Raw genomic sequence first — 22,608 nt, forward strand, 5'->3', positions numbered from 1 at the left:
TTCTTTCAAGGTTGCTTCCTTGAAAGTTGCCTCCTGCGAAGCTTCAGTGACTCGTCTAATGAGTTGTCCCACTTCCCCTGCCCTCCGCAGAACCTTGACTTTGCACACAGCACATTTTAATGTTGTGTGGTCTGCTTTTGATCTCACGTTGGACTGTGAGCCTAATACCAAACTCATCAGTGACTGCTCAGCTAGGGACTCCCAATCTTTGTATTCACATTTTACATCTAAGTGAGACAAGCTTCTCGACCTCAACTATCTCATCTGTAAAGTGGAGGAAACAATCTACCCCGTAGAATTGTGAGGATTCAATCTGAGGATGCATGCAAAGCTCATAGCGCACTGGCAAAATAGAGGTTGCCTATCAATGATGACATTGATTATGACATGACGTTGATCATTAAAGGTTAGAGATGATGACTTTTAGAATAAATACATGGGTGATTTTGCCCTCAATCCTGACAAATGCTGGTATCTCCCATTCTGGAGAGAAGAGGCCTATGACAGTTTTAGGGGCGTGGAGGTCAGCATTGGCAGGGGAGACCTTCTTTGTGCCAGCCAGCTCTGCCTTTCACTGCAGCAGTGAAGGGTGAGAGTGATCACCCTTCGCTCAGCCCTTGAGGAGGGTGGAGGAGCAGAGCCTGGATGTCTCTAACACACTGTGCCGGGCACACAGTGGCCTGGTGACAGGCCTGGGCGAGGGGCATATGAGGCCAAGAGTCGGAATGAGCAAAGGCCTTGAGGGCTTTCCCATGCCTTTCTTCAGCTCCTCCAAGTTACAGCTAAATTCCCGCAGGGAGAGTCTGGAGGGGTGCGAAGGTCGAGGCCAGGGATTAAAGAATTCGTCCAGGGCCGCCCAAGCGAATATGTCAGGCTCAGGGACCCAGCGGAATGCCAGCCCGCACCCCCGCACCCCCTCCTCCTTCCAGCGCGAGCAGGCGGCGCGCTCCGGAGGGAGAGCTGGGGCTGGAGGTTCCTACCCCCTCGGCGGCCCGCATCTGCCCCCGCGCGCCCGCCCTGAGCCCGCCCCGACTGGGCAGGCGGGGGAGCCCCTACTTCTCTCCCCCCGGGCGGGGGAGCCGGGGGGCAGCGCCGGAGCCCGGGGGGAGCTCAGCCCCGCCGACCGGCCGGCCAGGGCAGGGGGCAGCTAGGACGGCCCCGGGTAAGCGGCGGGAGGAGGGGAAGCGGTCAGGGGTGGAGCGGGGCCGGGTCAGGGGCTCGGGGGGTCGGGCCGGGGTCGGGGGAGGAGGAGACGGCCTGGGCGAGGGGCGTCCGGGACTAGGAGGGGGCCGGCGGGCGGGCGGGCGGGGAAGCGGCGCGGGGCCGCCACGTGAGAGCTGGAGCTGGGGGTGGGGGTGCCTGCAAGGTGCTGGAGGCGGAGAGCGAGCTGGGCTTCTACATCCCCCCAAACTCCTACCAATCAGGTCATGGGGAGCGCAGCATCCTCTGTCGCCCCCAGCCCACCCCCAGGCGAACGTGGTTGGAACAAACAGCTGGCAGACTTGTGACCCGGCCCTCGGGATCCGCGAAGCCCCCGCTCTCAGCCTTGGGCAGCGACCCAGGTGTCCAGACGCAGGGAAGGGGACGGAACCAGGCTTCGCCCCCTGTGTGTGTCTCTGGTCTCTTGCCTCTCTTTCCGGGCAGTCTCTTGCCGGGCGCTGTCTGCAGACTCACTGCAGAGCGCAGGCCTTGGGGAGAAAGCGCTCAGGGGCCTGGGCCCTGCTTCCTGGGACAGCCCCCTCCCTTCCGCACTCAGCCAAGGGTGTTGGATTAATATACTCTTAGATCCAGGACCTCTGCCTGGAAAGAAGGAAGGGGCACCGATCGCTTCTGAGTTGGGGACAGGGCCACACTTGGACCTGATGAGTTCCAGGAGGCTGGCCCCAGCCTAGGGGCCTCCTGCACCCCCTTCCTAGCTCCTGGGTAGTGCCCCTCTTGCATTTCCCTGCCGCTCCCCAGAAAGGGCTGGTTTCTGGGCAGGGAGTGTGGTGTCCGCGACAATCTGCAGGTAGGGTGCATCCTAGAAATCTCTGAGCTGCCACACCCAGAGAGAGGCCAGGACTCTTCTTGGCGTTCCTTGCCCTCTCTTCCTCCCCTAGGACTCCCCACTCCCCACCTGCCTGTACTGGTTATGTAATTAACCCAGCTGAGTCTCTCTGCCATGCTGGTGGTAGTGGTGTCCAGGGATGCCTAAGGGGCTTCGGGACCTGGAGGGACACATGGGGAGGAGGGATAGGTACTTCCCCCTAGTTGGGAGCCCATGTAAGTGTATAAACACCTGTTGGAGAAGGGACACTGCATGGGGCAGGAAGGAGTTCAGGGTCCTAATCTTAGTTAACAACTCAACTGGCTATGAGGTCTTCACTTCCCTAAGTCACTGGGTTTGTTTTTTGGGGGGTTTGTTTGTTTTTTAAACCTTCAATAAAATGAGAAGAATCTCTCTCACGCACACTGCATGCATGTGAGCTCATGCAACAGTAGATAGCAGCCCCTCCTGGGATTGCTAGGAGGTTCCACTGCTAAGTTTGTGGGAAGCTTAGATGAATGAATGACCCCTGCCCATAGCAGTGGTCACTGTTTATTGAACACCTACTCTGGCCTAGGCACTGGGCTTTACATGCACACATCATAACACTTAATAAAGTTTCTTGCCCAAGGTCACACTTCAGGTGAATGGCAGAGCTAGGAATCAAGCCCTGGCGGTTCTCATTCCACATCCTGACCTGTATTTACTATGCTGTGTGCGCACATACCCCGTGGAGTGAGTCCTCTGAACCAGGACAACCTGGGGGACATTCAGCTGTGGCTTGTGCATATGTGGAAAGAACATGCATCTGCAGAGAAGTATGCACCCATGCGGAAAAGCATGGCCTTGCCAGAATCCGGCGAACCCACCTGCCCTGGAGCCAGTTAGCAAGTGCTGATGTCACCCTCCTGGGAATCCAGACAGGAGGTCTCAGGCATGTAACAGCCTCTCTGGTCACCATCACCAACAAAAGAAGAAAGGTTCTCTCCTTTTCCTGGCTAAGAGATTTACTTGGATTTTCTCAGAAGTAGGGGCTGTTGACCTCATTTTACCTATGTGCAGAAGCATGGCTCCAGTTGAGAAGGTGATTTGCCCACTGACCTGCAGCAAGGACACACCAGAGCTGATGAATTCGTATCAAGGCCCAAACCCCTAGCAGCCCTTTTCTGGGCACCTGCTATGTGCCAGGCCCTCTGGGCTCTAGGGGATGCCAGAGAATCAGACCCAGACCTTGGCCTATATGCATTCACTGGTTAGAATCACTGAACTTGGCCAGGCGCGGTGACTCACGCCTGTAATCCCAGCACTTTGGGAGGCCAAGGTGGGTAGATCACCTGAGGTCAGGGATTCCAGGCCAACATGGCGAAACCCCATCTCTACTAAAAATACCAAAATTATCTGGGTGTGGTGGCAGGTGCCTGTAATCCCAGCTACTCGGGAGGCTGAGGCAGGAAAATGGCTTGAACCCAGGAGGTGAAGGCTGCAGTGAGTCGAGATCATGCCACTGTACTCCAGCCAACTTGAAAGTTGGAAGAAGTACTGCGACATCGTAGAAAGGAGTAGCTGCCCTTCGGGTTGTGATTGGGCACACTTCTTACTCCTTCTAAGCTTCTCTCTAAAGTGGGAATAACAGTACTTATCCCTTAGAGATGTCGTACTGACCAAGGATAACCATATGGGCATGCCAGCAGAGTAAGTGCTCAGCAGTGTTGCACCCCAGAGGCGACGTGGTCATCTAGTGCAGCATTCTCAACTAGGGGCATTTGGAAATGGGGGCAGGGGGAGTTTTTGGTCATCATGGTGTCTGGAGGCTGGCAGTTACCTCTTGGGGGCCACGGAAAGCAAATGTCCTGCAATGTGTGGGCAGTCCTGCACAATCGAGTTCTCTCCCCACAAAATGTCAGGAGTGCCAGCACTGAGACACACCTGCCCAGTCCCACCCATTCAGGAGGACACAGACTCAGAGGTGTTGCCGTCTTGTCCCAGGCTCTGTGGGGAAGCTGGGATCAAACCAAGTCCAGTGCGCTTCCCACTCTGCTCTGCAGCCTGTTTTGGTTGGAGTTGGACCTGGAGAAAAGTCAAGTCATAAGTCAAGAAAGATTGGGCCCTACTACTGGAATGCAGGAAAAAATGGAGGAGGGATGGAGAGGTTTTGGAAAGGCAGCCACAGGGGTTCTGGGAGAGGGAAGGCATTCTAAGTGGCAGTAACAGCTTCAGCAAAGTCCCAAAGGTGGAAAAGTGCAGGACACGTCCAGGGATAAGCCAGTGCACTAAGCCCACCTCTTGTCCCCACAGTCCAGGTGGAGGCCGCAGAGGGCCCAGGGCAAGCAGAGGCAGCAATGGTTGGTCCTGACGGTGGCTGAGCCCCCAGCCCCTGGAATATGCAGCCCGGGGGAGCCCCAGACAGCGGCAAGGACGAGGTGGCGGAGTGGGGCGGGAGGCATGGTCTCCACCTACCGGGTGGCCGTGCTGGGGGCGCGAGGTGTGGGCAAGAGTGCCATCGTGCGCCAGTTCTTGTACAACGAGTTCAGCGAGGTCTGCGTCCCCACCACCGCCCGCCGCCTTTACCTGCCTGCTGTCGTCATGAACGGCCACGTGCACGACCTCCAGATCCTCGACTTTCCACCCATCAGCGCCTTCCCTGTCAATACGCTCCAGGTAGGAGGACCCTGGGGGGCATGGGTTAGTGGGGAAACGGATGGGTAGGGGAGAGGCTGGATTCCAAACTGCTGTAGCTTGGGCCCTATTGCCAGGGCCCCATCACTGAGTTTGGGAGCTCCACACTGCACCTTGGGCCACTCTGCTTAGAGCCGTTCCAGGAATCCATTCATTGGTGTGCTAGTTTATTCAACAAATATTTGGTGACCGTTCAATGTGTGCCAGGCCCTGCAGTGGGCACTGGTGCAGAATGGTGAGCAAAAAATTTATGGAATTTGCTTTCAAGAAACTCATAGTCTGGTGAGAAAAGGCAAATATGGTGTGATAAGTTCTATGATTGGAGGAGCAGGGAGCTGGGGCAGCCCTTAAGGGGGCATCTAGGCCATCCAGATGTGTTGGGGTGGAGTTGGGGGGTCACAGAGGGTGATGTCTCAACTAAATAGGTTTTAGGCAGGTAAGAGTCAGTAGAGAAAAGGACAGGGAACACTAGGCTACTGTGAGTATTCGGAGCTGTGCCTACCGTAACCTCACTCCACATCCTCTGGAGAAGGGACAGCAGCAGAACAGACGGGGCCCTGGGAAAGGTGTGTTCTTGGAGACTCTGGAGACCCCAGTCAGGTCTCTTGCCCAAGGCCCTCTTCTCTTAAGTGATGCTCTGCCCCTGACCTCAGGACCTGCCTGCTGGGCACCCTCCCTGCCAGGTTTGGATTTAAATGCCTGAGGGTCCTCACTTATTGTGTTCCTTCCCCACTGCCTGCTGGAACCAGGTCCTCTTGCCCTCTCTCAACCTCTGACTTGAGAGGGAGTGGAGAGAAAAAGGAAGCTGAGCTCTAGGACATGTTTGCTCACTGAAGGAAGCCTCTGACCAGAGTGTACAGAGCTTTTCCAGGAAGGACAGGCACAGTGGTGGAGGCCCAGAAGACAGGGGACAAGGCTCGTCCAGGTGTAACTGAGCAAATCAAGCAGTCTCTCAGGCTGAGACCCTGGGCTGGGAGATGGCGGGCAGCTCAGCACTCAGCACTCTCGGCAACACCAGGCAGGAGGGCCCTGGCCTAATCTGCCGGAGACACCTGTTCACCCATCCCAGGCACCTGGGGTCAGGAGGAAAGATGGAAGCCTGATCCCGCATCTGCCCTGGAAGCAGTGAGGCTGAGCCTGTCAGGGCAGACAGTCTGGATGCAGGGCCTTCTAGTTCTCTTCTAAAGGAGACTTTAACAATCACCTGATTGGACATTCAAATCTTGCTCCAAGCCTACACACTGAGCTTTGTTGATTTCATCTTGCCCCCTTTACCTTGATTCCTGCCCCACTCTCTATAACCACTCTTATCGAATTTTTCTTTCTTTTTTAAAATTTATTTATTTTTTTATTTTAGATGGAGTCTCCCTCTGTCGCCCAGGCTGGAGTGCAGTGGCACGATCTCGGCTCACTGCAATCTTCGCCTCCCGGGTTCAAGCGATTCTCCTGCCTCAGCCTCCTGAGTAGCTGGATTACAGGCACCTGCGACCACACCCAGCTAATTTTTGTATTTTTAGTAGAGATGGGGTTTCACCATGTTGGCCAGGCTGGTCTCAAACTCCTGACCTCAAGTGATCCGCCTGCCTAGGCCTCCCAAAGTACTGGGATTATAGGCATGAGCCACCACGCCTGGTCTCTTATCCATACTTTCAGTGTTTCTTTACCCAAGTAAGAAAATGCATTCTTCCCTGCTTCTTACGTAAAGAACAAAACAAAAACAAGAACCATACTGTTCTGTACCTTGATTTTATTTTATTTTTAAAATTTTTTGTATAGATGGGTCTTGCTGTGTTACCTAAGCTGATCTCGAACTACTGGCCTCAAGCGATCCTCCTGCTTTGGCCTCTCAAAGTGCTGGGATTACAAGTGTGAGCCACTGTGCTTGGCGCTGTACCTCAATTTTTTTAACTTGCTATTATAACCTGAAGATTTTTCCAGGCCATTATCTAGAGGACGTCCTCATTCTTTTTTCATGGCCACGCCCTACTCCATTGAAGAGCTATACCATGGAGTCCTTTCTTGTTGGATAAGTGGGTGGTATCCAGTCTTGTGCTGTTTCAAACAGTGCCACAATGAGTGGCCTTGTAGATAGGTCATTTTGAACATAAGTAGGTATATCTGTGGGATCAATTACCGGAAAGGGCATTGCTGGAAATGGCACTGCTGGATCACAATGCCTGGAAATGGCATTGTGAATACAGAGCCAGGTGAGGTGGCTCATGCCTATAATCCCAACACTTTGAGAGGCTGAGGCAGGCGGATCACTTGAGCTCAGGAGTTCGAGACCAGCCTGGGCAACATGACAAAACTCCGTCTCTACCAAAAATACAAAAAATTAGCCAGGCATGGTGCTCCATGCCTGTGGTCCCAGCTGCTTGGGAGGCTGAGGTGGGAGAATCGCCTGAGGCCGGGAGGTTGAGGCTGCAGTGAGCTGAGAGTGCCACTGCACTCCAACTTGGGTGACAGAGTGAGGCCCTGTCTCAAAAAAAAAAAAAAAAAAGTGTGACTGTAACTGGAGTTTGGAGGGGAGGTTATTTCCAGATTGCCCTCCATAGCAGTGGCGTATGCTGTGCTCCTGTGAGCAATGTATATGAGAGCCCGTTTTCCTACAGTCTTGCCATCAGAGTATATTGTCAAACTTTTGACAATATATTTGACAATCTGAGAGATGAGATATGATATTCTCCTTGTAGTCTCCATTTGCATCTCTGATCGTGGGTGAAATTGAGCATCTTTCATAGGTTTAAGGGCCTTTGTGTTTCTCTTTTCAAGAACTATTGATGTCCTTTGCCCATTTTTCTATTGGGTTGTTGGCTTTTTTCTTCTTGACTGACCCTGAGTTTTGGACTCTAAGATATCCAAGATTTCACTCCTGGAGCCCAGTAAGGGACTTTTGGCAGAGAAATACTGTGAAAAAGGTATCCTCAAGGCACCAAAGATTAAGTATAAAACCTAAGAATCCTGATGGCCACCATCTGGAAACAAAATAATACATTCTTCTCCAATGCCAGATGAGATAGAGCCCAGGAGAGTAGTGTTTCCTGGGTGTGAGCCTCAGTGTCTTCTGCAGCCCCTTCTATCAGAGAAGGAAGCTGAGATTATCAGGTGCTTGCAACTCACCAAAGGAATTATCAGCAAATGCATGGTTGAGATGCAGGTGGCTGAGCCTTGTCCCTGAAACTGGACTCCCTTTCTATTGCTCCTTCTCTGTCTTGACAGAGCCCCAAGATGGCCTTTTACAGTTTGGAACCCTGCTTCCTCCCTTCAATCAAGGGGGAAGGGATAAGCTAGCCAATCAGGGGCCTTCCTCCTCTCTCTTTTAGGAACCCCCAGAGAGGAGTGGGTGGGAGGAAGCCAGGAGTTCCCCTCAAGGAGGCAACATGTTGGGGGAGAGGTGGGGCTGTCACCCTCAAAAGCTGGCAGCTGCTCCCTCTCCCCAGCAGACAGCTTGAAGAGACTGGGAGCTTCTCATCCCTCCCACTTCTCACTGATCTCCATTGGTCTTGGGGGATCGTGGGAGCATCCGTATACACAGGTTCCAGGCTCCTGGAGATCACTGTGTCCAGCAGAATGCAGTCTTCCCTGGCCTAAGAAACCAGTTTCCTATGGTTTTAGGTTTGTCCTCGGCATCCTCCCGCCGCACCAAAAATTTAAACCTCAGCACAAAGAAAAGATGCCACATCATCTCCCTAGGGAAATCCACTGCAGCATCTTCTAAGCCTTTGAGTTGGGAAGTGCTGTTCTGAAGTTGGACTTAACTCTGCACTACTGCCACCAAAGTCGTTTCCTTTTGATCCTTCTTGGAAGTGGAGAACTGTAGTCCTCCTTTGTGCCTGGCCCCTGCCCCACTCAATTCAGATGCTGGGACAGGAGACATACCTCCACCTTCTTCTAGTCTTTTGCCTGGGCTTTGGTGGGAGAAGACTCTGGTTTCCTTTGTCCTTGGAGGCCTCTGTCCCCCCACCTTTAGGGACCCCCTTCTTTCCACACACTGGCTGCCTGAAACCGCTCTTGCAGCTGGCACGTTGACTAATGAATCTGTTAAGGAAACTTCTCTTTAGTGTACTTGGCCTTTCTAGGAGTCTCTTCACCTTGAGCTGTACCCCCCAATCCCTTGAGAAGTTGCCACAAACATTCAGGAAGTTCATCTCCCTGGAGCTGCCCAGGGGCCCTACTCTACATCAGCCCATTATGCATCCAGTCTGAATCTTTTTCTGTTTCTCAACCCTGAGGGCAGAGAGAAGCATACAGAAGGGGCACATCAGGTAGCAGTCTAAGGGCAGTGGCAGAGGCAGGAGTTGCATTGATCCCAGCTTGGGCCATGGAGAGCTCACCAGCCCAGGTAGTGCTATTAAGGAGCACCTGCTTTGAGCCAACAGTGCTAGACACTCAGGGAGGAAGAGGGAGTATATACAAATGAGGATGGCCTGGCTGTGGCCTTCTCAGGAGCTCACAGCAGAAGTGGGGAACTGGAGATGGAACAGCTCTAATGAAAGTGTAATAGAAGGATTGTTAGAACACAGGAGATGAAGGGAGTAGTCCCCTGCTTGCAGGAAGGATGGGAAATCAGGAAGCTTCTTGGAGGTGGTGGCACTTTAGCTGAACCTTGGAAGATAGAATTTTAACAGGTCCAACACCCAGCTCAGAGCTGGACTCTTAGAGGTACTTAATAAATGTACTTGTTGAACAAAGGCCTCGATGGATGGATGAGGGCACGACATGGAGCAAGGCAGAGCTAAACTCCAGATGTGCACAAGACAGTGCAGTGGCCCTGTAGATCAAACAATGTGACCTGCTCCATCCTGGCTTGGGAATGGGGAGGCTACAGCTCCTCCATTCTCCCTGGGCCTGGTCTCCTGGGGATGGTCGGGTATGGAAGGCTTCAGGTGCAGTGGCAGGTGAGAGCACTGCCCCTCTGATGGGAGGTGTTTGGGGGCTAGGGGAGCCCTCATGGCTGCTCTGACCCTGGTACTGGCTGGGGATATTGCAGGAGTGGGCAGACACCTGCTGCAGGGGACTCCGGAGTGTCCACGCCTACATCCTGGTCTACGACATCTGCTGCTTTGACAGCTTTGAGTACGTCAAGACCATCCGCCAGCAGATCCTGGAGACGAGGTGAGAGGCTGGAACACAGTCCATTGCCACCTCTGTGGATGCCCCAGTGCTAGCCAGTCCCTGTGAAAAGGGCACAGTATAGGGACACAGATAGAGGTATATGTGTTCTAAGATTTCCACACATACACTCAAACATGCATACATTGTGCTGTTCCCATTTCTGTCAACTCATGTTGGGACCGTGGCTGTGGGGGTGGCTAGAGTAGTGCAGTAGTTAAGAACTGGGACTTCTGGAACAAGACTTCCAGGGCCACTCAGCTGCATGACTTGAAGCCAGTAAACATTTAAGCCTATGTCCTCATCTGTAAAATGGGGATAACAGTAGAACCCATCTTTTAGGTCAGTTGTGCTGATCAGAGAATATAACACCTCCAGGGCTTAGGGCTGCGCCTGGAGCAGAACCTACGGTGGTGGTAGTATTGGCCAGGCACAGCCTGCCCTGCTGGGAGTACAGCGGTTGTGGGGCTGACAGAGTTCTGAGCTGCCTGCCTCGCCCCACAGGGTGATCGGAACCTCAGAGACGCCCATCATCATCGTGGGCAACAAGCGGGACCTGCAGCGCGGACGCGTGATCCCGCGCTGGAACGTGTCGCACCTGGTACGCAAGACCTGGAAGTGCGGCTACGTGGAATGCTCGGCCAAGTACAACTGGCACATCCTGCTGCTCTTCAGCGAGCTGCTCAAGAGCGTCGGCTGCGCCCGTTGCAAGCACGTGCACGCTGCCCTGCGCTTCCAGGGCGCGCTGCGCCGCAACCGCTGCGCCATCATGTGACGCCTGCGCGCCCCTCGGGCTGCACCGGCACTGGCCGAGCGGAGGGCGGGGCCGTACTGCGGGGCTGGGGCGGGGAGCGGGCGGGAAATGGAACTGTGACGGTCCCGGCCTGAGGCCCCTGCAGCCACGCACCTCCCGGTGAGAAGCAGAGCGCGAGAGGGAGCCCTCCGTAACTGCCCAGCCCTGCCCCTTGCCCCCGTGGCTTCCTGGGACAGCCGCCTTCAGTGCTGTATTTAGTGCAGTGCCCGGCCCGACCCGCGGGGGTGCCACAGCCTTTTGGGATGGGGGTGAGCGTGCAATGGAGGCTGGGGGTGGCGAGGTGCCGCCTTGGCCGGGCCCCCACGTGTCTTCTCCAGAATGTGTCTGTCTTTGCCTGGTGTCTTCCTTTCCCGTGTCCGCCCACCCCAGCGTCTGTTGGTACTTACCTGTCTCACCTACCCTCCAGTCCCCTCCCAGCTCCGCTCACAGGGCTCTCATTTCGTCCATCCCCTTGTCGCAGATCCTGGCAGCTTCTTTGTGAGGCCAGGCCTTCTGACTGTCAGCACCACCGGCACAGGGCAGAGATGCGGGTGGCCCAAGGACCACGATCAAGGGGTCCGGGGGACCGAGGTCCCAGATCAGTGAGGGGAGAAGGTTGAGCTCTCCGGCTTCCAGGGAGACCTCCCCGCCCAGCAGCCCCCAGAGACACAACAACCTACCTTCCAGCCTTAACTCGATGGTCCGTCCCTGCCAGGTGCCCCTCACTCTTCCTGACCCCAAAGCCAGATCACCCCCTGGGTTAAAACTTTTTTTCTTTTTTTTTTTTGGACAGAGTGTGGAAAGGGAGCCCCCCAAAGGATAGCTTCTTTTTCATGATGCCAGGCTCCAGTCCTTTATTCCCTTCTGCATACTGCAATCTGATCTGTCAGACTGGGGAATGTTGGGTTCTGGGGTCTGGTCGTGGGCAGGATGGTGCCCAGAAGGGGGTTAGGTTGTCCCAGTGAAAATTCTGTTGCCCCGTCTCAACCCCATCTGACTACCCCAGACTCTGCCTGCCTCAGATCTCAGACTATCCTGATTAATCTGGGGAAGAACAGAGCCAGGGAAAGAATGGTGGGGACCCCTGTACTTGGGGGAGACACACCTGCATCTTCCTCCTGCCACAGATGGAGGCCCTCAGGATCTGACACCCTCTTGTCCCAACACCAGTCAGCCCTATACCCTAACTCACTCCACCCCATTTTCTCCGGCTGCCTGGCCGGGTTTCTACCTCTCGTCACCGGAGCTGATCACTGTCAGTTTTGTACCGATTTAGAAATAACAATAATAATGAAGATTCTAGGAATGGCATGAGGGATTGATGGGGGACTTGGAGGGAGGGACAAGTGGTGCCCTGTCCCCTGCTCCCCTGGCCAAAGAAAGCTGTCCTTGAGGCTGAGCCCTCAGCCCTGGCCTGGTGGGGGGACAGCAAGGTCCCTTGTTATAAGAGGGGCAGAGAGGACAACTCCGCTTTGGCCAACCTAGCCAAGGCTGCAGCATATAGACCAGGAAATCAGGTAGCCCAGACTGGTGATGGAGCAGAGTCTGGGGGAAGGGTCGTGGGTGGGGAATTTATCACCAACATCCATTGTAGGGGGAATCTATGATTCTGCTTCCCCAGCGGATTCCCACTCTGTCCACCAAGTGGGGGGTAGCACAGCCTCACAGCAACCGCCCTGACCTTGGGCAGTCTAGTGTTCCTGCATTCTAGTCCCTGCTGTGCTGCAGGACTTTGGGCAAGTGACCTGCCCTCTGTGAGCCTCCCTCTGACACAGAGGAGGTGGCTCCCCTTCCCCACACCTTAGAGTGGCTGGGAGGGTAACAAAGAGGGCCTGCCCCTTTAGTCTCCTGCACCCCTGCCCCCTGGTTCACCAGAGGGAGCGGATGAAGGATGGCAGCATCTCACATGCCCCATCACCAACTCTGAGGCACCTGGGGTGGGGGGGCGGAGCCCAGGCCTCTGGCTGCTCCCCTGTGGGAGCCATTGGAATGTATCCCCTGACAGGCCCCCTTCCGCCTCCACCTCAACCCAGGTCTTGGATTTCAGGTCCCTCCACCCCCATTCTGAGTCTCTGTCCTTCTCCTTCCACCCGCTCCCAGGGTTTCCCACCACAGGGTCTGGAAGTGTGTGTGACGCCCATTGAGCTGTTACCCGAAGTCAGATTAAAAATCAGGGAGTGTTTTCCCTCGTTTCTGTACCAAGGTGTTGGCTCCATTCCTCATGGTAGGAGGGGAGGGGTCCCCACAGGGCTTGCCTGCTGAGCTCCGTGTGGAAGGAGGGTGAAGGTGGTGAGGTGGCCCCCAGTCCCAAAGCCCAGGTCAACAGGGAGACCACCGGTGAAGAGTTTGGGATTTATCACCTTTCCACCTAACCCCAAACCCTCCAGCTAATTCCAACCATTCAGAAGGGAAGCAGAACTTCTCCCCTGCCACTGTCTGGAAAATTTCCATAATGGGACTCAATCCCAGCTTCTCCGTCTGCGTCTCGTCCTTCCCACTCAAGGCTGAGACTTTACAGCCTCTCAGTCATAACTTCTTGGATGTAGATGTGTTAGGAACACTTTCAGCCACCCGTCTTGTCCCTGAGTGATCTCAGGTCCCAAACTCCAGAGCAAAGCTTTGAAATCTTGGGCAAGGGTGCCTTGTGGGAGCCTGTGTGTTGAGGGCAGGACTGGTCTCTGTCCGTGGTGCTGACCCACCAGCCACTTCCAGGAAAGATGGGGCTGCCTGGCAAGGTTGGCTGAGCCTCAAAAGAGGAAGCCTCTCTCACCACCAACTCCTTCCTTCTAGTCCCCATCTCCTCCAGTGGGATAACATCTGAAGCTATACCTCCCCGCACCACCACAGTCCTGGAGTGAGGGACTCAAGAAGCTGGGGGGCAGGGGGAGGCAGGTTCAGTGGTTCACATCTTTAATCCCACTGCTTTGGGAGGCCAAGGCAGGAGGATCACTTGAGGCCAGCCTGGACAACATAGTAAGACCCCATCTCTAAAAAATAAAATAAAATAAAATTAGCCAGGTGTCATGGCACCTACCTGTAGTCCCAGCTACTTGGGAAGCTGAGGTGAGAGGATCACTTGAAGCCTGGGAGTTCGAGGCTGCAGTGAGCCATGATAGCGCCACTGCACTCCAGCCTGGGTGACAGAGCAAGACTCTGTTTCTGAAATTTGAAAAAAGAAGCTGGGGGCTCAAGGGCAGAATCACATGCATTTAATAACTTATGGGAGTTATGGAAACAGGTGGGCATGGCCAGGGGCCAGAGGCCAGGAGTGTGGTGAGCCGTTCTAGGGGAGAGTAATGAGATACAGGATGGTCCTACTGCCCCTGGCCTACCTCTGGAGTTGGAGTGAGAGCAGTGGGTTGCCCCTTTGCTCAGATGAGCAGATGGAGTCTATATTTGTCTTCTGACCCACTCCTGCCCAAGGCCCTGTGTGGAGGTGAGGGAACATCCCTTCTGTTCCCGCAGCTGTGAATCCAGTGTATACATGGCCATCCTTTTTGCTTCCCTCCTACCCAACACGCTCATGTGCCTCAGACCCAGGACTCCTCCTCAGGTGGAAGTGGAGCTTGATTAAGCCAGTGAGGTTGCAGGCCCTCTGGAGGTTGGGGGCTGCTCTCCAATGGAGCGGCTGGCTCTTTCTCCTCCTTTCCTTCCTCCTCCTCCTCACCTACTGAAGCTCCATCCACCCGGGATGCCTCCCCTCCCTTGCTGCCCAGCACAGCTCTCAACAGCCTGTCCTTGGGGGGCTGCCTGGCTGGACCCAGGAAGACATAGGCCAGTGGCCTGGGGATTCGTGAAGGCTGCTTCTCAGGCCTGTGGTCTCTCCGGGGCCGAATCCTGGGTCTCAGCTTCAGCTTGTAGATGGACGGGACCCTCTTGGGCTTCCGGAGAGTTCTCCTGCCCTTGCTCAGACATGCCTTGGCTTTGTCAGAGTTGGGGTCCAAGGGCGAAGGTGTGGGGGCCTCCGGGCTGGCAGACACAGTAGAAGCCGAGCAGTCCTGCCCTCCCTGAGGTGGGACCTTCCTCATGTGGGTGCCCTTGGCACTCAGGCTTGCCTTTGTCCTGGGCCCACTCTGTCTGGCTCCCAACTTCCCTTTGAGGCTTCCCGGTCCTGGGGTAACAGCTGGCTTAGGGGAGCCAGTCGGGGCTGCCTTCCAGGCTTCCAGGTCCACTTTAAGGAGGGATGGGGACCCCTGAGCCAGTTCTTGGATGGCTTTGTCATAAGGACCCCCAGGCTCAGGCCACTGCCCAGCCAGCCTGGGGATGTAGACCCCACTGCGAGGGATGACCCCAGACCTTGTGCCCTGCGGACAGGCACTCCTGACTTCTAGCAGCTTCATGTTGCCCAAAATCTCCTCTTCAAGGCTACAGTAGATGGCTTGCTCCTTGTTCCCGCCCAAGGGCAGAGGTGTGTACCGCCCCTCCTGCTCCTGTAGGCCCAGGTCCCAGGACTCTCTGGCCTCTGCCATGACCTGGATGTCCAGCTGCTGGTCCTCCTGCCTCACTTCCACAGAGCAGTCCCCATGCGTGGACCCAGCCAGGTCCACAGTGACGGCCCTTAGTGGGATGGGGTCTCTCCCAAGTTCTGTCCTGGGACTTCCACTTGTAGCACCAGGAAAGCTCCTTCCTGGTGTTGGGGGGCGAGCAGGGGGCAGCCGGATGGGGATCTTGGTTAGGCCTTGGACAGGGGTTGGAGAACGGACAGACTCTGGCTCCCTGAACTGGAAGAACGCACCCTTGGCCTCATCCCGGAGTGGCAGCCTGAGGCCCAGGCACTCGGCTGGGCCAAAGGAACGAGGCAGGGGAGATGGTCCTCTTGCTGATATCCCTTTGGTGGTGGCCTCAATGGCTCGGAGTCTTTGTGGGGTGGGGTTCCCGGCGTCGGTTCCCCAGCTGTCTGTTTCTTCATGAACCCAAGATGTGGGAATCCTTCCCCTGGGGAGTTCAGGGGGGTATCTCTCCTCCCTCTTTCCTGACGAGGTACACTGTGGGTCTCGGCCTTTTTGGGTAGATGAGGACTGGGGGCTGGGTGGGCTGTCCCCAGCTGTCGGCTGCCTCCAAGATGGGATGAGAGACCTCTCCTGGCACCTGAAAGGGAGAATCACAAGGCTGCAAAGGGAGACTCATCAGGCCGGCAGGGTCATCTAGTGTGGTCCCTGGCTTTGGGAAGTGACAGTCTTTCCCCAGTGAGAACACCCAGGAGGCTAGACTTCACGCTGAATGAAACCTATGCTCCCTCTCCTCCGTGACTGCCCAGAAATCCTCCTTATGGCAGTCACTGCCTAAGTCTATTCGCCCTTGTTCCCTGTGTAGCAGATAGAAGGAAGCCTGATCCTGGCCTGAGGTGACTTCAGATCCTTCGAGGGATGGCCTCAGACCAGTTGCAGGGCAGTGGAGAGACAGAGGGGAATGCACAGTCTCTGTCTTAGTCTCTGCTCTACCATGAAATGGTAGGAAACCTTCAGTAAGTCTGTTCCATTTCTGAGCTTCAGCCTCCTCATCTGTGAAATGGGAAGGCATATGAAGTAACCACATTATCCCAAAGGTACTGGGTATGCTTCTGGTTCCAAAACCTGTGGTCTCGGGGTAGAGGCACTGCCGAGGATCTGCTCCTTTTATCTTGGAGTGTGGTGACCTCTGAGAATGTGCACTCCAAAGGAAAAAGAGCCCCATCCCTGTCTCTTCCCCATACCTCAGGAATGGTGCCATCTCTCTGGAGGCCCCCGTCCCTGCTCCCCGTTCCCTGCGGGGTCTGGGGGAGGATGGGGTGGGGGGCCTCAGCCTTCGGTCTGAAGAGGTATATGTCTTCCAGTCCACAGGGGGTGGTGGGCTCTGTGAGCGGCTGATGGTCATTGTAGGCTGGGTCTGTGAGGGTCCATCCTGTACCCTTACTTCATGCTGCACTGGTGGGGCCGGGGGCTTCAGGAAGCTGCCTGGCTTGTGTGCTACCAACAGTCCCCCGGAGAAAGGAGAGGAGAGAAGGGTTCAGTTCCTGCCAATGGGGACCATTGTTCCTCCCCCAGTGGTCCCATGCCCCGCATCCCACATTAAAAACAGTGGGACCTACAGTGGCAACACCGGAGTTTCTTTACGGGAGGGGCTTAGGGGACCCAGCTGGGGGATTTATTTAAAGCTATGTTTTTAGTGCGGGTACACAACTTTCCCTTAGAGCATGTGCTTATTTGGAGTGGCTGGAGGCGTTGATGGAGATTATGGAAGAATTAAAGACCCTCCAAGTCACACTTGGTGCCAACACTGTGGATCCCAGAGCCAGACCTAAGCTCTGCTAAAATGCACCGTGGCCAAATGCTGCTTCTGCGTGTGTTGCCCGCCATCTTGTGGCGACATTTAGTACTGTACTGTGCCCAACTACTGCCTGCCTTCCTCCAGCCTCCCCCACACCTCCCCACCTACCGCTCCCCTCCTGGAGATCAGACATACCTCCCACCTCTGCCTCCAGCCTCCCAACCCAGAGCTAGGCCTCTTCAACCAACCCCACAGGGAGAGGGCCCTCAGGGGACTCACAGAGGGATGTGCAGCGGCAGGGGTCATGTTTGTCCAGGTAATGGCCCAGTGTGTCCCAGCCGCCCCCTACACGTACCATCACATGGTTCCGGAGGATCTGAGGGGGCAAGGGTGAGGTTAAGGGCGGGGTGGAGGGCAGCCCCTCTTCCTGGACCAGCTCGCGGGCTTCCGGCACTCACTCAGGGATGCTCTCATCCATGTACCCATCCACACGTAGATGTATGTGTGTGCTGTAAAAAGGCAGCCCGAATCTCCTCCTCCATGACTGGCATCAGATAACACATGCGGTCAAGGTGGGAGCCAGGCTGAAAGCTGTCCCACAACTGGTCAAGGGATCCCAAAGCCTGCCCCCAGAGCGCTCCTTTTGCTGTAAACGGTTTTGCATCTGTACATGCCTGTACCCAAAACAGGGCCCTAATGCCACTGGCTTTGCCCCTGTGGCCTGTGTGGAGAGCCCATGGGAGTCCTGGTCCCACTCCACCCTCAGGCAAGTCACATGTCTCTTCAAGCTTCAGCTTCCTGTGTTGGGAAGTGGGGCCACAGGTTCTTGCCCCTATCTGCATCACAGGGCTACTGCCTCAGGTCTAGGGGAGGGCCCAGAGAGCTGGCTCTGCTCCCAGGTTTGGCCTGTGCCCAAGGAAATGGCTGGGCCATGCCCCGAGCTGCTGGCCGCTCATGTGGGTACAGACCGTTTCTGGTGAGGCACAGCCAGGTATTGGGGTAGGAGGCACATTTTCAGACCTGTGCTGCTACTCACTCTGCTGAATGTACCCCCAGGCAAGTGGTAGGGGTGGAACTATGGGGTCCATGTGGCTGGGGCCGTGCACTGAAACCAAACTTGGGGTTCTCAAGCTGCTTCCTCTAATCAAGTCTGTGGGTGGAGTGGAATGGAAAAGTGTGATCACCCTTCTCCATACCCCACTCTGCCTGAGAACATGCTCTAGATTAGGCTACAGTGGAGGAGAGGGAGGGTGGTGGCTCTGGCTGCCCTGATGGGAGGAGGAGATAGGCTTGCCACCTTTGCCAGGAATCTCCTGGAATTCTCCCAGGGTGAGAAGGAGAGCTCCAAGGCCTGATGGCTTGGGGTGAATGATGACTTACTGTCATTGTCCTCAAGCCTGGACAAAGTCCCATATTCTGGGAGGTGTCATTGTTCCAAGCCTGGGCAAGGTCCCATATTCTGGGAGACTTAGTGTCATTGTCCCAAGCCTGGGCAAGAAACCCTATTCTGGGGGTCCCTTGACCCCCAGCCTGGACTTACCCGGATGAAGATGAGGGTGTTGGAGTCACCCACACGGTACTTCCCCTCAGACACTTTGACCATGGAGAACTGCACTGGGCACGTGCAGTGGCTCACAAGGCTCTGCACCTGCGGGCGGGTGGTGAACTCAGCCCTCTCCTTTGCCCACTCTGGGTCAAAATGGGGGGCCTACCTGCCCCCCAGGTCACCCCTGAGGTTTCTGCTGAGGTCAGAGCTGGGGAATGAGAAGCAAGGAGGGAGTAGATAAGGCTGTAAATGACCCAGCGAGAACGAGACCTGGGTGGTCACCCATGGACCTACCTACCATGAGGTCCAGAGCTGATGGAAGCGGCAGAGTGCCACGGGGGGACTGTGGGATCTGACAGGCTCAGGTCAGTGCCCTGTATCCACTGCATCATAGGCTTTTCATTAAGAAAACTGCCTGAGCTCCATTTTCCCCAGGGGTTAACCACACAGAACTAATTGCTGTGAAGTGGCCCTCTGTGCAGACCCTGTTCCAAACACTTTGTATGTGCTGGCTCATTTACTGATTACAGCATTCATAGAAGGTAGGTGCTGTTACTGTCCCCATGCTGCAGATAAGGGAAGCCAGACACAGAGAGGTTAAATAATTTGCCCAAAGTCACACAGCTGCAAAGCAGTGGAACTAAGACTTGAACCAAGGTGTCTCGGAGAGTGCCACAGTCGGTGTTCTTGAAAACTGTCCCAGCAGGGGTTAAATGAGAGGGGCATCCAGTGCTGGGTTGGTAAGAACGCCTGAGAAATGACATGGCCATTAATTACTACGCGTGGTTAGGGTTGAGGCTCAGAGTGGAACCGTGCCTTAAAGCCACACAGTGAATTCGGGTCAGGGTGGACAATGGAGCTCAAGAAGGGGGTGGGTTAGTGGGGGCTGGAGTGGGACTGGGGAGAGGAGCACGAAGGACAAAGGGAAGGGGGCCCTGAGGGCGTGTGCAGAGCCCCTCACCATCTGGTCCAGGTTGCGGAAGTGGCAGGGCTGGCGCCTGGGGGGCGCTGGCGGCGAGGGGTCGGGCGGGGGCAGGGCCAGCTCCCGCCGCACCTCCTCCTCGATCTCCTCCTCCAGCTGCACGAGTGTGGGCGCCGCAACACCAAAGCGCCACGCCCGGCGGCCCAGCTCCAGCAAACACAGCACCACGTTCTTCACGTTCTTGCGCAGCACCAAGTCCTCCGTCTCGAACATCAGCACCTCTGGAGTGGAGGCGGGGAGAAAAGGGCAGAGGCAGCGTGAGCCCCCAGAGGACCTGAGCCTCCGGGGCAGGGGCTAGCGGGGAGGAAAGCACTGGGGTCATCCCCGGTCTGGGGCAGCAGACATGGGGAGTGGTTTGGGTCTCAGAATCTTGGGGTCAAGTCAGCCCCCTAGGAGGGGTCTGGGCGGAATTGCTCAGGTGCTGGGTACAGACACGCGGCCCATCTCACAGGAGAGGCTGCGGGTGAGAAGAGGTGACAGCAAAGCAAAGGGACCTGGAGACTGGCTGTGACTGTGACTGTGGATGAGAGAAGGATGAACTCCACCTTCCCCTCTCCCCACTCAGCTTGCCTGGATGGGTCCAGGAGCAGGAAGCGGTTTGTTCCACTTTCCACCCACGCCTCTCTCCTCCTATCTCCACCAGGCATCTCAAACTCAGCTCCCACCCAGGCCCAACCAGGCATGCTGAGGACATGCTCTGGAGCCAACCACTAAGTCTGGAGTCCTGACTTATTACCAGCCGCATGACCTTGAGCTAGACCCTGAGCCTCAGTTTCCTCTTCTGTAAAATGGGGATGTAGTCTACTTCGTGGGGTTGTTGTGAAGATTGGATATGCTCATAGTTGCTAACCATTCACAATGTCCGGCACATGCAAGCATTCCTTAAAGCACTAGCTTCTATTAACCTTCCAATTCTGTTCCTCAGTGCCCAGCCACCAGCCAGTAGCCCAGGCCTGACCCTTTCCCCAGTCTCACCCCTGCCACCTTTGGCCTGGAGAATGGCACAACATCCAGTCTCATCCCATTCCTGGTTTCAAGGCCAATGAGATGAAGGATCCTGACATGTCACTCCCTGAGCCCTACAAGCCCCAGCATGATGGAGCCCCTCCCTGGCGTCATCCCATCTGTCTCCTCCCATGTTCTCTCCTCATCCTAGCCCTGTGCCCTCACCACCAGCCTCTCCCTAGTCATTCACACACCATGCTTTTTCTGCGCCTTTGCCCCTGTCATCCCCCCTGCTTAGAATTCCCTTCCCATAAACTTCTATTTATCCCTCAAGACTCAGCCCAGCTGGGTGTGGTGGCTCACACCTGCAATCTCGGCAGTTTGGGAGGCTAAGGCGGGCGGATCACTTTAGGTCAGGAGTTCGAGACCAGCCTGGCCAACATGGTGAAACCCCATTTCTACTAAAAATACAAAAATTAGCCAGGCGTGGTGGCGGGCGCCTGTAATCCCAGCTACTCAGGAGATGAGGCACATATAATTGCTTGAACCCGGGAGGTGAAGGTTGCAGTGAGCCAAGATCGAACCACTGTACTCCAGCCTGGGTGACAGATCTAGACTCAGTTTCAAAAAAAAAAAAAGACTCAGGCCAAATCTCCTTCCTTTATGATGCAAACTTTCTCGGCCCCATTCCACCTAATCAGGCTGCTATTTCCTCCCCTGGCTCCCAGCATTACACCTCTAGGTCAAGCCTTTGCCACAGTAGGCTATAATTTATGTATCTATCCCTCTACCTCTCTCTCTCTCTCTTTTTTTTTTTTTTTTTTTTTTTTTTGAGACAGACTCTCACTCTGTCACCCAGGTTGGAGTGCAGTGGCGCCATCTCAGCTCACTGCAACCTCTGCCTCCTGGGTTCAGGCAATTCTCCTATCTCAGCCTGCCACTATGCCCAGCTAATTTTTGTATTTTTAGTAGAGACAGGGTTTTGCTATGTTAGGCCGGGCTGGTCTTGAACTCCTGACCTCAGGTGATCCACCGGCCTCAGCCTCCCAAAGTGTTGGGATTACAGGCATGAGCCACCACACCCAGCCTTCTGCCTCTCTTGCTAGACCATGAATTTGTTGGGCGCTGGGTCTCTTTCCTCTCTTTCCTTGGTGCCCAGCAAAGTGCTCAGCACAGAAGAGGTGCTTGATATATGCTTATTGAAGTAATCATCAACAAACATTTATCAATCATCAATATATTTATTTATTGAGGATTTACTATGAGGTGGGGAAACTGAGGCATGAAAAAAGAGCTGGTTCAAGGCAAATCTAGAATGAGGATCCAGGCTCCTGCCCCCCAGAGCTAGCCTGTGCATTTGAGAAAGGACCAATACCCCCCAAGATAAGCATCTGGAATGGGGACGAGGGTGCAGCGTGGTTACCTTGGATGCCCATCTCCTTTCGACACCACTGGATGAAGTTAGAGACATTGTCCCTGGCCTGGAAGGTACCTGGCTGGGCGGCCCCATTGCAGGAGACCCCGACCCGGGGCATGGGAATCTTCTGGGCTTGGGCAGGTGCCTCAGCCAGGAAGGCCAGGGCAGCGTCAGTGACAACGTTGGCGTGTTGGCACAGCACCAGGCCCGTTTCCAGCACCTGCAGGAAGTTGGCTGCGTCGATGTCCAGCCCATAGAGGTCGCGAAGCCACTCAGCCAGGTCTTCCTTCATGGCCTCCAGGTACTGCTCACTCGACTTGAAAGGCCGGATACTGCACACAGGCGGCCCTAGGGTCCTGGGCTTCCTCCTGCCTCCCGCAGGCTGGGACATGGCTGGACCCCAGCAGGGCAGGAGGTGGGCACCTCCCCTCTCCCACTGCCGCCTCTTTCCTCCCGCTGCTGCTGGGTCTCGGCTGGGTTCTTCCTGATTCTGAGGTTCCCGTGTACTCGCTGAGAGCCCGGGACCTCCAGTGCTGCTACTTGCCACTGGCTTCAGCTGCCAGGCCTGGCCCAGCCCCTGCCCCCCCACATTCCTCAGTCCTTGCCAGAGCTTTCCCTGGTGGCCCTGCAGCAACCTTGCTCTCAGGCTGCCCAGTCCACTTGGAGTTCACCCCTCTGAGGCCAGATGGAAGTGAGGACACTCCTCTCTTTCCCCAGAGCTGGAGAGATCAAGCTGGCTGCCTCCTACCCTCTGCTGGCTGCGGCCACAGAGCCTGGGGTGGCTGCCGGCCTCCCCACTCTGCTTTCCTCCCCTCTCCTTGGAGACAGCGGCTGCTACAAACACTCCTTGTTAACCCTTCCCAGC

General features: G+C 55.5%; 2 protein-coding genes across 5 annotated transcripts, besides 3 other annotated features; one reads left to right on the top strand and one right to left on the bottom strand.

Moving 5' to 3' along the window:
* Nucleotides 918–1,067: a silencer, noted in NCBI's record as "silent region_8440". NCBI's record gives its function as "represses an Ori minimal core promoter by ATAC-STARR-seq in GM12878 lymphoblastoid cells {active_cell/tissue: GM12878}" and the evidence as "EXISTENCE:reporter gene assay evidence [ECO:0000049][PMID:35858748]".
* Nucleotides 923–12,805, top strand: RASL10B (RAS like family 10 member B). Of its 4 annotated transcripts, none has more exons than XM_047437043.1 (5): nt 923–1,162; nt 1,425–3,110; nt 4,322–4,684; nt 9,693–9,817; nt 10,319–12,805. In XM_047437043.1, the coding sequence occupies exons 2-5, from the start codon at nt 3,081–3,083 to the stop codon at nt 10,587–10,589; spliced, it is 789 nt and encodes a 262-aa protein (XP_047292999.1). In that variant the 5' UTR covers nt 923–1,162; nt 1,425–3,080; the 3' UTR covers nt 10,590–12,805. The 4 variants fall into 4 exon arrangements, 3 of the variants coding, with proteins under 3 accessions (XP_047292999.1, NP_201572.1, XP_016880789.1); XM_017025300.2 differs by lacking the exon at nt 923–1,162 and having other exon boundaries at nt 1,326–3,110; nt 10,319–10,415; nt 11,089–12,805; NM_033315.4 differs by lacking the exon at nt 1,425–3,110.
* Nucleotides 1,816–2,339: an enhancer, noted in NCBI's record as "H3K4me1 hESC enhancer chr17:34059551-34060074 (GRCh37/hg19 assembly coordinates)". NCBI's record gives its function as "activates a minimal SCP1, AML or CMV promoter by ChIP-STARR-seq in primed H9 embryonic stem cells {active_cell/tissue: H9 hESC(primed)}" and the evidence as "EXISTENCE:reporter gene assay evidence [ECO:0000049][PMID:30033119]".
* GAS2L2 (growth arrest specific 2 like 2) lies at nt 13,795–22,523 on the bottom strand. Its single transcript, NM_139285.4, has 6 exons — nt 21,750–22,523; nt 19,361–19,602; nt 18,394–18,501; nt 17,133–17,229; nt 16,300–16,552; nt 13,795–15,695 (listed from the first exon to the last, which is right to left on the bottom strand). The coding sequence occupies exons 1-6, from the start codon at nt 22,132–22,134 to the stop codon at nt 14,138–14,140; spliced, it is 2,643 nt and encodes an 880-aa protein (NP_644814.1). The 5' UTR covers nt 22,135–22,523; the 3' UTR covers nt 13,795–14,137.
* Nucleotides 17,008–17,227: an enhancer, noted in NCBI's record as "active region_12079". NCBI's record gives its function as "activates an Ori minimal core promoter by ATAC-STARR-seq in GM12878 lymphoblastoid cells {active_cell/tissue: GM12878}" and the evidence as "EXISTENCE:reporter gene assay evidence [ECO:0000049][PMID:35858748]".

This window comes from Homo sapiens, chromosome 17, assembly GCF_000001405.40.
Source record: "Homo sapiens chromosome 17, GRCh38.p14 Primary Assembly".
NCBI classification, from domain to species: domain Eukaryota; kingdom Metazoa; phylum Chordata; class Mammalia; order Primates; family Hominidae; genus Homo; species Homo sapiens.